The 13097-nt window shown below is 35.2% G+C and overlaps 1 protein-coding gene and 1 long non-coding RNA gene across 6 annotated transcripts in view; one reads left to right on the forward strand and one right to left on the reverse strand.

The window, feature by feature from the left end:
- Positions 1 to 8475, reverse strand: part of LOC124901678 (uncharacterized) — a 40041-nt gene extending 31566 nt beyond the window's left edge. Inside the window, exon 1 of the long non-coding RNA XR_007060391.1 lies at positions 7630 to 8475. This is a non-coding gene — a long non-coding RNA (uncharacterized LOC124901678). The remainder of the gene's footprint in view (positions 1 to 7629) is intronic.
- The window catches only part of CCDC146 (coiled-coil domain containing 146), a 172590-nt gene that overhangs the window by 35457 nt on the left and 124036 nt on the right, over positions 1 to 13097 (forward strand). Inside the window, exons 2-3 of one of the 5 annotated variants that reach the window (XM_047420662.1) lie at positions 6781 to 6909; positions 9587 to 9753. The exons of 1 other annotated variant lie outside the window; for it this stretch is intronic. In XM_047420662.1, the coding sequence (XP_047276618.1) occupies positions 9598 to 9753 (156 nt within the window). In that variant the 5' untranslated portion in view covers positions 6781 to 6909; positions 9587 to 9597. Of the gene's footprint in view, positions 1 to 6780; positions 6910 to 9586; positions 9754 to 13097 lie in introns of those variants that run through there. 3 more of the 5 variants (NM_020879.3, XM_047420669.1, XM_047420665.1) reach the window with 3 other exon arrangements.

Consider the following 13097-nt stretch of genomic DNA (forward strand, 5'->3'; position numbering starts at 1 on the left):
CAAGTCCCAAATTCCAGGCTACCAGTTACTTTTTCAGCCCTATCTACTCTCCTAAGAACGTTGCTTTTTATTTGGGCTTATTTTACCTCAGCTTATGTGACAGAGAACTAGTTCTTTCCCTGCCTTACTTTCTCTTCAGATTATACATTGTTTGCATATTTGTAAATTCTTTATAGGAAAACTCAATAAATATTTATTTAATTGATTTAGGCATTCTGGAGATATAAGTCTCTAGAATTACCATACCTGATGGCTATGTAGTTCTTCCTATGCCAGGAATTTAAGGTGTTATATTAAACATTCTCTGTTCATATCACCGTAGCCTGAGAATATACTTTATTCTATTATTTTATTTACAGCTGTCAATCATATTGCCTGCAATATGGAACTATTAATACAATGGGCTTTGCAATCCTATATATTAACTGTCTTTGGATATTTATTGTTTTTTTTTGTTTTTTGTTTTGAGACAGAGTTTCACTCTGTTGCCCAGGCTGGAGTGCAGTGGCGCTATCTCGGCTCACTGCAACCTCTGCCTTCCAGGTTCAAACGATTCTCCTGCCTCAGCCTCCTGAGTAGCTGGGATTACAGGCGCCCACCACCATGCCCGGCTAATTTTTGTATTTTTAGTAGAGACGGGGTTTCACCATGTTGGCCAGGCTGGTCTCTAACTTCTGACCTCGTGATCCGCCCACCTCCACACCACAAAGTACTGGGATTACAGGCGTAAACCACTGCGCCCAGCCAGATATTTGTTTTATCCATTAAACTTTGTTATCTGGTTAAGTCCTTTCCTGCCTATTTAATTAGATTAATTAGTGTTTTTTTGTTTTAATTCACACAGACTTTTTTATATTTGCCTCTGTTGGGTTTTCTTTCACTACTCATTCTCCCTGTCTTTCCTTTTTTAAAAAAACACGTTATTGAGGTATGGTTGATGTATAAAATACTGTACATATTTAATGTATACATCTCAATGAGTTTGGGGATAAGTATACATCCATGAAACCACCAACCATCATCAATCTCATAAACATATCTATCACCATCCAAAGTTTTATCCACCCCCTGTATTATTATTTTTGTTGCTGCTTTATCATAAGATCTAATCTCTTAGTAATTTTAAGTATACAATAGGGTATTGTTAGCTACAGGCACTATGCTGTCTAGTAGATCTTCAAAACTTATTTATCTTGCATAGCTGAAATTTTGTACTCTTTAACTATTACTCCCCAGTTTCTCCTACCCCAAGTCCCTGGCAACCACCATCCCACTCTGCTTCTATGAGTTTGACTGCTTTAAGTTCCATATATAAGTGAGATCATATAGTATTTGTATTTCTCTGTCTGCCTAAATATTTCATTTTCTATCCATGATGTTGCAAATGGCAGAATTTCCTTTCCTGTGGCTGTAAAATGTTCCATTGTATACATATATCGCAATTTCTTTGTCCATTCATATGTCCATGGAAATTTATGTTGTTTCCATATCTTGGCTTTTGTAAATAGTGATGAAATGAACGTGGGAGTGCCAATATCGCTTCGAGATCCTGATTTCGATTCATTTGGATATATAACCAGAAGAATTGCTGGATAATAAGGAAGGTTTATTTTTTACTTTTTGAGGAAACTTCATACTGTTTTCTATAATGGTTTACCAACTTACCTTCCCACTAACAGTGTACAAGGGTTCCTTTTTCTTCACATTCTTATCAACAATTACTATCTTTTGTTGCCATTGCTTTTGGTGTTTTAGACATGAAGTCCTTGCCCATGCCTATGTCCTGAATGGTAATGCCTAGGTTTTCTTCTAGGGTTTTTATGGTCTTAGGTCTAACGTTTAAGTCTTTAATCCATCTTGAATTAATTTTTGTATAAGGTGTAAGGAAGGGATCCAGTTTCAGCTTTCTACATATGGCTAGCCAGTTTTCACAGCACCATTTTTTAAATAGGGAATCCTTTCCCCATTGCTTGTTTTTCTCAGGTTTGTCAAAGATCAGATAGTTGTAGATATGCGACGCTATTTCTGAGGGCTCTATTCTGTTCCATTGATCTATATCTCTGTTTTGGTACAAGTACCATGCTGTTTTGGTTACTGTAGCCTTGTAGTATAGTTTGAAGTCAGGTAGCGTGATGCCTCCAGCTTTGTTCTTTGGGCTTAGGATTGACTTGGCGATGTGGGCTCTTTTTTGGTTCCATATGAACTTTAAAGTAGTTTTTTCCAATTCTGTGAAGAAAGTAATTGGTAGCTTGATGGGGATGGCATTGAATCTATAAATTACCTTGGGCAGTATGGCCATTTTCATGATATTGATTCTTTCTACCCATGAGCATGGAATGTTCTTCCATTTGTTTGTATCCTCTTTTATTTCCTTGAGCAGTGGTTTGTAGTTCTCCTTGAAGAGGTCCTTCACGTCCCTTGTAAGTTGGATTCCTAGGTATTTTATTCTCTTTGAAGCAATTGTGAATGGGAGTTCACTCATGATTTGGCTCTCTGTTTGTCTATTATTGGTGTATAGGAATGCTTGTGATTTTTGCACATTGATTTTGTATCCTGAGACTTTGCTGAAGTTGCTTATCAGTTTAAGGAGATTTTGGGCTGAGACCATGGGGTTTTCTAGATATACAATCATGTCATCTGCAAACAGGGACAATTTGACTTCCTCTTTTCCTAATTGAATACCCTTTATTTCCTTCTCCTGCCTAATTGCCAATGGGATCTAATTAAACTAAAGAGCTTCTGCACAGCAAAAGAAACTACCATCAGAGTGAACAGGAAACCTACAAAATGGGAGAAAATTTTTGCAACCTACTCATCTGACAAAGGGCTAATATCCAGAATCTACAATGAACTCAAACAAATTTACAAGAAAAAAACAAACAACCCCATCAAAAAGTGGGCGAAGGACATGAACAGACACTTCACAAAAGAAGACATTTATGCAGCCAAAAAACACATGAAAAAATGCTCTCCATCACTGGCTATCAGAGAAGTGCAAATCAAAACCACAATGAGATACCATCTCACACCAGTTAGAATGGCAATCATTAAAAAGTCAGGAAACAACAGGTGCTGGAGAGGATGTGTAGAAATAGGAACACTTTTACACTGTTGGTGGGACTGTAAACTAGTTCAACCATTGTGGAAGTCAGTGTGGTGATTCCTCAAGGATCTAGAACTAGAAATACCATTTGACCCAGCCATCCCATTACTGGGTATATACCCAAAGGACTATAAATCATGCTGCTATAAAGACACACGCACACGTATGTTTATTGTGGCATTATTCACAATAACAAAGACTTGGAACCAACCCAAATGTCCAACAATGATAGACTGGATTAAGAAAATGTGGCACATATACACCATGGAATACTATGCAGCCATAAAAAATGGTGAGTTCATGTCCTTTGTGGGGACATGGATGAAATTGGAAATCATCATTCTCAGTAAACTATCACAAGAACAAAAAACCAAACACCGCATATTCTCACTCATAGGTTGGAATTGAACAATGAGAACACATGGACCCAGGAAGGGGAACGTCACACTCTGGGGACTGTTGTGGGGTGGGGGGAGGGGGGAGGGATAGCTTTAGGAGATATACCTAATGCTAAATGACGAGTTAATGGGTGCAGCACACCAGCATGGCACATGTATACACATGTAAGTAACCTGCACATTGTGCACATGTACCCTAAAACTTAAAGTATAATAATAATAAAAGAAAAAAAAATTACTATCTTTTGTTTTTTCAATCATAGCCATCCTAACAGGTGTGAGGCGACATCTTATTGTGGTTTTGATTTGCATTTCCCCAGTGGTTGGTAATGTTGATGACCTTTTTATGTACTTGTTGGCCATTTGTATGTTTTCTTCGGAAAAATGTCTATTCAGCTCCATTACCCATTTTTTAATGGGATTATTTGAGTTGTTGCTATTCAGTTGTATAAGTTCCTTGTATGTTTTGGATGTTAACCCCTTGTCACATATATAGTTTGCAAATATTTCCTCCTATTCCATAGGTTGCCTTTTCATTTTGTTGATTGTTTCTTTTGCTGTGCAGAAGTTTTTTAGTTGGATGTCATCTCACTTTATTTTTCCTTTTGTTGCCCATGCTTTTGGTGTCATATCCAAAATATAATCACTAAAACCAATGTCAAGGACTTTTTTCCTATGTTTTCTTCTAGGAGTTTTATGCTTTCAGATCTCATGTTTAATTCTTTAATCTAGTTTGAGTTAACTTTTGTGTGTGATGTAAAACAAGGGCCTGATTTCATTCTTTGGCATGTGGCTATCCAATTTCCCTAACACCCTGTATTGAAGAATCTATGTTGTGCATTCTTGACATCCATGCCAAAAATTACTTGACTGTATATGCATTGGTTCATTTCTGGGCTCTCTATTTTGTTCCATTGGTCTTTTATTTTTATTTAATGCCAGCACCATACTGTTTTGATTACTATAACTTTGTGCTACAATTTGAAATCAGAACATGTGATTTTTTCTAGCATTGTTGTTCCTGCCTAAGGTGGGTTTGGCTATTTGGGGTCTTTTATTGTTCCATATAAATTTTAGGATTTTTTTTTCTATTCCTGTGAAAAAAGTGCCATTGGAATTTTATAGGGATTGCATTGAACCTGTAGATTGCTTTGTATAGTAAACCATTTTAACAATATTAATTCTTCTAATCCATAACATGGGATACCTTTCCATTTATTTATGTCTAATTTCTTTCACCATAGTTTTATAGTTTCCAGTGTACAGATCTTTCATGTCCTTGGTTAAATGTATGCCTAAGTATTTTTATTCTAAAGGTTAAAGTTTTTCTGATGATCTCTATCAGAACTCTGTTGTAGTGTCTTTTAGTTGCTTCCCTGTGCAAATACTTTACTTGCTCTAAAATATTTAGAATGTTTTCAGAATAATAGAGATTGAAAACTTTAGCAAACTGAAGAATTTGTACAGATTCAGCATGGTACTTATCATTTGTTGCCTAGGTAAGCTGCATCATATTTAAAGGTGCAGTGCTCTGAGAAATTGTCTGAACCTAAGTTTTCAAAGTTAATACCATCTTGATTATAAAGATTTCAAGGCCAGGCGTGGTGGCTCATGCCTGTAATCCCAGCACTTTGGGAGGCCAAGACAGGTGGATCACCTGAGGTCAGGAGTTCAAGACCAGCATGGCCAACATGGTGAAACCCTGTCTCTACTAAAAATACAAAAATTAGCTGGGTGTGGTGGCACACGCTTGTAATCCCAGCTACTCTGGAGGCTGAGGCAGGAGGATCACTTGAACCTGGGAGGCAGAGGTTATAGTGAGCAGAGAATGCACCACTGCACTCCAGCCTGGGAGACAGAGCAAGACTCTGTCTCAAAAAAAAAAATACACATATATACGTATTTTTAAAATAAATAGATGCACTATACTTTGCAACCCTTTTGTAATAGCAGAAAACTGGAAATATTCAATACGTTTATAAATAGGAAATTGAGTAACCTATGGTGCATCTATGCAAAGGAGTGCTATGCAGGTATGAAAAGGGATGAGATCTATCTCTGTATATTCCTATAAAGTTCTTTAGGATATATTATTAAGTCTAATTGTCTAGGTTTTGCTTCAAAATAACCTAGAGAGTTCAGAGGGGAAGTGGAAGGGTTATAGATAAAATTGCTCATGAATTGATATTTGTTGAAGCTCGTTAATGTGTACTTGAGGAATAATTGTACTAATCTGCTACTATTGTTTATATTTGAAACAGTTTTTCTTTCTTTCTTTCTTTTTTTTCTTTTTTTTTTTTTTTTTGAGACAGAGTCTCGCTCTTTCTCCCAGGCTGGAGTACAATGGCACAATCTCGGCTCACTGCAACCTCCACCTGCGGGGTTCAAGTGATTCTCCTGCCTCAGCCTCCCAAGTAGCTGGAATTACAGGCACATGCCACCATGCCTGGCTAATTTTTTTTGTATTTTTAGTAGAGATGGGGTTTCACCATGTTTGCCAGGCTAGTCTTGAACTCCTGATCTCAGGTAATCCACCTGCCTCCGTCTCCCAAAGTGCTGAGATTACAGGCGTGAGTCACCATGCCTGGCCTTTGAAAAACTTCTTAATAAAAAAGTTAAATAAGATATAGCCTAATGTTCTGAAGGAAATATTTTTCTGGGATATTCATTCACATTTAATATCCATGAAAGGATTGAGTGTACATATTTTAGTTTATTCACAAAACAAATTTAAATATATAGCCAAACCATTTTTAGCTGCTTGAAGATTTAAGCAATAAACTGTGATTACCTAGCAAATATAAAGTATTGTAATGCCATAATAATAATGGTTATTTAAAAAAAACACTTTAGGGCATTGAAAAAAGCAAACATGTGTTAAAGAAAGGGAAGTCAAATGATACCACTGGCTATTAACATCACATAACAACAGACAATCAGATATTTGGAGCCTCCTGATGGAAGTATATGTTACCGCCTCTGAAGTATTGTTGTAGCAGCAGGAAGAGGAAAACAAGTACATGTATAATTTCCGGCTGGCAGAAAATTAGAGATAGAGTGAAGCTCAAGTCCCAGAGGCATTATCACATTTAATCTGCACATCTTTTTGAAACATAAAAATTAGTTGTTGTTTTGTTTTACTAATTTTACCCCATTTTAGAGAGGAGTAAATTTAATGAATAAATGATATGTCTGTGACCACCTGACTAATACATTCAAGAACCAGGACCTACCAAGCCTTCTGGCTTCTTATGATGGAACGTGCTTTCCATGTTATAGAGTGAGGCTCAGTGTCATCAAGGAACAGCCAATCCAATGAGATTGACATGAGAAATGATACATATTCAGCAGAAGATCAGACCTTAAAAGCATGACAATTGCAGTTATCTTCTCTGGCAAGAGAAGAGTGTAAGTATAATATTCTGTTGATTCAGTGAAGATTCATGTATTTCAGAGATCAAAAAGAGCTGATGATGATATTGGCATTCTCTTATGCAGTGGAGGCATTTTACCTGCTCTCTCTCCAGAAGGGCAGTCATCCCAATGTCACCAAAGTGGACCAATGGAGCCCTTGCTGACTAAGACAGAGTCCTTTTAGAAAGTGTTGTGGATCTGCTTGAATACATGACCAAATCGATGGCTAATATACAAGGCCAGCTTCAGCCTCATAGATGTATGACCTACGCAGTCACACAAGGATCTGCTCTCAGAGGGGCCCTGCACTTGGTTTAATGCCCTGCTGTCACCATTTTTAAATACTTAAAATTTTATTTTTGAGCTTGAGTTTTGTAAATAAAGTCTGTTGGAACAATTGAACATTCACATGAGCAGCACAGATAGGCCAGGCAGCAGTGTGCACATGCACAGGCCTGAATCGATGGCTGTGGCAGAGGGTGTGGGTGCCAAGCAAATAGGCCTGTGGCCTGGTGCTCAAATGCATGCATCAGGGCAGTTTGGGGTATCACAGAGTCCCAAGGCAGCCAGGCCAGCACTTGAGTGCAGATTGGCAAAAGCAATGGCAGCAATAGCAGCAGAGGCAACATGACAGCAAAAGTAATAGGGACAGCTACATCAGTGATGGCCTCAGGAGAAAGAAGAGGCCTGCATGGGGACAGTTCTGGAACCTACCATGGGAGGCTGGTCCCCAGCATCTGTCTCTGTGGTATCTGCACATATAATAAGGAAAGAAACTATTGGCACTCAATGCAGAAAACTTTTTTAGTAAAATATTACAAAATAAAAGCAAACACACAGACATTGCAATAAAACATGTCAAGGAGTTATTAGAATTCTTCAAAGAGTTTAAAATCTCCAGTTTTGAAAATTGCTATAATATTGCAAATAAAATATCCATAAGTTTAGGAATAGAAATTAAAGATGATTGCATGTGACAGAAAATAATAGTTTTCCAAGCTTGAATAAAGCTTATGAAGCTTTGAATAAATGAAGTATGAACAAGAAAGACCATTTTAAATTTTATTTTATTTTTGTAATTGAACATACAACAATAGAATGCATATAAGCAAGTGTTCTGGTGTATATACAAAATATAAAGCCACTTTTGGATTATTGCACAACCTCCAGAAGTTACAGGAATTGTCAGAGGAAACATTAAAATGAATATTGAATAAATGTACATTTAAAATTAAATTCACAGAGGAAGCTGATTTTTATGAAGAGTTAAATCTTTTTAGAAAATTGTTCTATGAGAATCATTAGCTCAAAAGGTTTTATTTTGAAATGATTTATCAGAAATTTATCTAAATGTTATCACAGCCTATAAATATTCTTATAAACTTCAGTGAAAGATGCATGAGCAGGAAGATTCTTCTCAAATTAAAAATTGCCAAAAATTATTTATGATCTTGCATTTCCCAAGAGCAGCTCACATCACTTTCAGTTTGATCAATTAAAAATGAAATTACAATGAGTATAAATTTTGATGATCTAGTAAATTAATTTGCAGAAAAGTGAGCCAGAAAAATCTTATGATCAATCAAGATATTACATTATTGTTATTTTATTATATAAAATTGTGACATCAAAAATATTTTCTTAGGATTCATTACTATTCACTTAGTTTTTGTTGCTATTCACGTATTACTATTACCCCTATTATATTTTATAAGTAATAAATTTTTTTAAAGGGAAAACTTTTTATATATTGGTAACCTTCAGAGAACATTTTTCTGACATTTTGACAAGGAATCCCAGATTTGTTTTTTTGTACTGGGTCCTGCAAATTATGTGGGTCACCCTGCCAATATGATTTGAGGAAAAAAATTTTCGAAGCTGGTGTTAGCAGTTGCCCACAGCAATTACAGAAGAACCTCAGTTTTGCTCCTGTGGGAATTTGGTTTTGAACAAACTTTCCAATAAGGAGTGAATGAATTATTGTTACTGCATTGATTTAGTGTTAAGCATTTTGTTTCTGAAAATTCAAGTAAACTATTTGCAATTGTAATATTCTTTGGACATTAAAAGAACAGCAGAACTTGTTTGTCCCGTTGGCAATTATTTTTAGCACACATTCTAAGTATGTTATTTGCTAGGTGTTGAAGGTATATGGGTAAATAAGAATATAGTTTCTGTTCTAAGAAGTCCAATAAGGTAGACAATATGAAAAATAGTAAATTACAATACACTGTTTTAAGCACTTTTCTACAGAAATATGTACAATGTATAGATTATAGAGGTATCAGAAAGCACACTTTGCTTATAATAGGATAGCTGGAGAGGTTTCTGGCTTCTTGTTTCATAAATGTCTAGGCTGATACTGACTTGCATTCTCATTATAATTCATGTATATTTTACATATATAATTCATATATATTTTTTATTTTCCAATTAATGCAACAGTAGCATACTTTTAAAAATAAGAATGATTGATTTGAATGCAACAATAGAGAGTGTCTTTGCAAAAAACAGTCTTTTATAATGAGATTGTAGCTAACTTTCCTGATTTGTAGTTTCATTGAACAATAGCTTATTCCAGTTTTTTGTTTATTTTTATTATTTTCCATTAATTTTACTTTATAAGTGAAGACACTCCTAAATAGCCACATATGTATTAATTTTATTTTAGAATCGTGAAAAATGGAAGACAGTAGCACAGACACAGAAAAAGAAGAGGAAGAGGAGAAAGATGAAAAGGATCAAGAGCCCATTTATGCCATAGTGCCCACAATTAACATTCAAGATGAGCGGTTTGTTGATTTATCTGAAACTCCAGCTTTCATTTTTCTGCATGAGGTATATTTTTCTTTATATGTTACTACAGTAAAACCCAACTCAACATGTACTTAAAAATTCAAATGAAGCCAATATCATTATCAAAATTCTTTATTACATATATCCTGTAGGTGATATTTACAACTTGATACACTAAAACAAAATGGTCCCTGCCTTTTCTTCCAAAAATTTATCATGTAATTCTGAACCAATGCAGTAGTGTAGGTTCTGATACTTTCGTAGCATAAGTATTTGCACATATATTCGGTCAGTTACATACATTTCGTGGGTTGGTACATGAAATAAAGAAGATTTCTTTTATTATTGCATATACTACATTTACTTCCATAAAATTAAAATATCTTGTCATATAATGATAGAAAGAATATATATTTACCTAGCTAACTATAGTTACTGCAGTGGAGCACTGAAATCTGCTGTTTTCTATCAGCAAATAAGCAAAAAGGGGAATATGATGAATTATATATTCTCATTATGTGAACTTTAAAAAGCAAGATGAACATTTAGGAAATACCCATATATGAGGAGAGTTTTTTTTTTTTTAAGTAATGGCTGACTATGTATTCAGCTGTTACCTTGTCATGCCTGAGAGCTATACTTTAGAAAATGATTTAGAGGACATTTGAATTTCAGATGATAAACTTTATATAACTGAATAAAACATTCTAAGAAATTTGATAGTCATAGTAAAAAATAAGTTTAAAAAGTCTTAAGGCAAAAACAGTTTATTAAAAACCAAGAAGCAAAACCAAATTGGAACAGAATGCAATAAAAAAGTAATTTTAAAAATAATAGTGCTATATATGTGTATACAGGATCTAAATTGCTAAATTGTTCACTTTTTCTACAGTTTTGGCTTTTTCTTTTATTTTGACATAATTTCAGATATTCAGGACAGTTGCAAGATTAGTGCAAAGAATTTGCGTGTATCTTTAACCCAGATTTCTCAGACGCTAACATCTTACCACATTTGCTTTATCCTTTTTTTTCTATCTTCTTGTTCTCTCAACCTCTCTCTTTCTCTCTCTCTGAAGACACGATGCCCCTTTATACCTAAATGCATCACTATATTTCCTAAAAATATATTCATTCTCTTAATCATAGTACAATTATATCAGGAAATTAACATTGATATAATACCATTTTCTAATCTGCATACCTTATTCGGGTCTTGCCAGTTGTCCCAATAATGTTCTTTATAGCAAAAGAAAATTCTAGATTATGTATTGCATTCAGTAGTCATCTCTTTAGTCTCCTTTAATCTAAAGGAAATTCAGGATTTCTTTAGTTTTCATGATATTGACACTTTGAAGAGAAGAGGCCGGTTATTTTGTGATTTTCTTTCAATTTGGATTTTTCCGATTTTCTTATTATTAGATTCATGCTATGTATTTTTGGTAAAGATATAAAGACACAATCTCGTATCCTTCTCAAGTGTCTTCTACTAGGAACACATGATGTTGCCTTGTCCCATTTGCTAGACTTGTTCATCTTGATCACTTGGTTAAGGTGATGACTTCCAGATTTACCTTTTATTTATTTTTCTGTTTGAAATTAATAAGCACCTCAAGAAGAGATACTCTGAGACTATGTGGTTGTCTTACTCCTCTTAAAATTTTCACCTACAAGTTTGGGATTTATTGGTGATACTTACCCAGATCAACTCTTGTTATGATGGTTGTCAAATGGTGATTTTCTAATTCCATCATTTCTTCTATATTTATTAGGTGGCTTTCTACTATAAGGAAGAACTTTCTCTTCTTTCCTTATTTATTCATCTTTTTATCAGTGTGGACTTAGGTTTCTCACTGTCATTCCTTCTCATGCTATCATTGTCCCACATTTGGCCAGTGTACACCCTTCAGGTAGGCTCACTTGTCCTTCTGACATGCTCCTGTGATTCCTTCTGCACTTCCTTACTTTCTGGCACAAGAAAGTGTTCTGGGCTCATCTTGTATTTTTTTTGCTCCAGCCCTAGAATCAGCCATTTCTTGGAGGATCCCTAGTTCCTGTTACTGGAGAATGATATTTGGAAACTAAGATATTAATGCTGAGCATGGTCATTGATCCTAGAATGTCATAGCTTCTAGCCCCTCTCAGTGGACAGAGCTGGGAAACAGATTCATGAATATTTATATCCACACAAATTTAAATCTATTTCTACATCTATCTTTATATATTTTTTAATCTAACTTTTATTTTAGATACAGGGCATACATGTACAGGTTTTGTACATGGGCATATTGCATCCAGGTGGTAAGCCTAGTACCCGGTAGGTAGTTTTTCAACCCACACTCCCCTTCCTCCCTCCACTCTCTAGTAGTCTGCAGTGTCTGTTATTCTCATGTTTTTGTCCATGTGTGCTCAGTGTATAGCTCCCACTTATAAATGAGAATATGCAGTGTCTGGCTTTCTTTTCCTGCATTAATTCACTCAGGATTGTGGTCTCCAGCTCTTCTATGTCTCTGTGAAGGACATGATTTCATCCTCCTATATGGTTGCATAGTATTCTGTGGTGTATATATATAACACACTTTCTTTATCCAATCCCCCACTGATGGGCCACTAGATTGATTCCACATCTTTGTTATTAATAGTGTGGTGATGAATGTATGAGTGCATGTGTCTTTTTGGTAGAATGATCTATTTTCCTTTGGTTTTATACCCAGTAATGGGATTGCTGGGCTGAATGGTAGCTCTGTTTTAAGTTATTTGAGAAATCTCCAAACTGCTTTCCACAGTGGCTGAACTAAACTAAAGAGCCTCTTCACAGCAAAAGAAACTATCAACAGAGTAAAAAGACAATCTACAGAATGGGAGAAAATATTGCAAACTATGCATCTGAGAAAGGTCTGATATCTGGAATCTATAAGGAACTTAGACAAATCAACAAGCAAAAAACAAATAACCCCATTTTAAAAATAGGCAAAGGACACTAACAGACGTTTCTCAAAAGAAGACATACATGTGGCCAACAAAAGTAGGAAAAAGTGCTCAGCATCACTAATTATCAGAGAAATACAAGTCAAAACCACAATGAGATATTATCTCCCACCAGTCAGAATAACTATTATTAAAAAGTCAAAAACAATGGATGCTGGCAAAGGTGTGGAGAAAAAGAAATGCTTATCTTTGTATTTTTAAAACCATGATTTCCTTCCTCTAATCTTAATATTTTAAGTGAAGAGTTCACATTTCTGTCAAAATCCATCATATGTCGAACTTTGCAATAAAATTTCTACTTCTCCACCACTACCCTTAATAATCAAATCAAAAATAAGGCTAAACTTGTGTCATACATTTGTTTGATATAGTAGCTACCAAAGACGTTGACTCAACACACA

This window comes from Homo sapiens, chromosome 7, assembly GCF_000001405.40.
Source record: "Homo sapiens chromosome 7, GRCh38.p14 Primary Assembly".
Taxonomy (NCBI): Eukaryota; Metazoa; Chordata; class Mammalia; order Primates; family Hominidae; genus Homo; species Homo sapiens.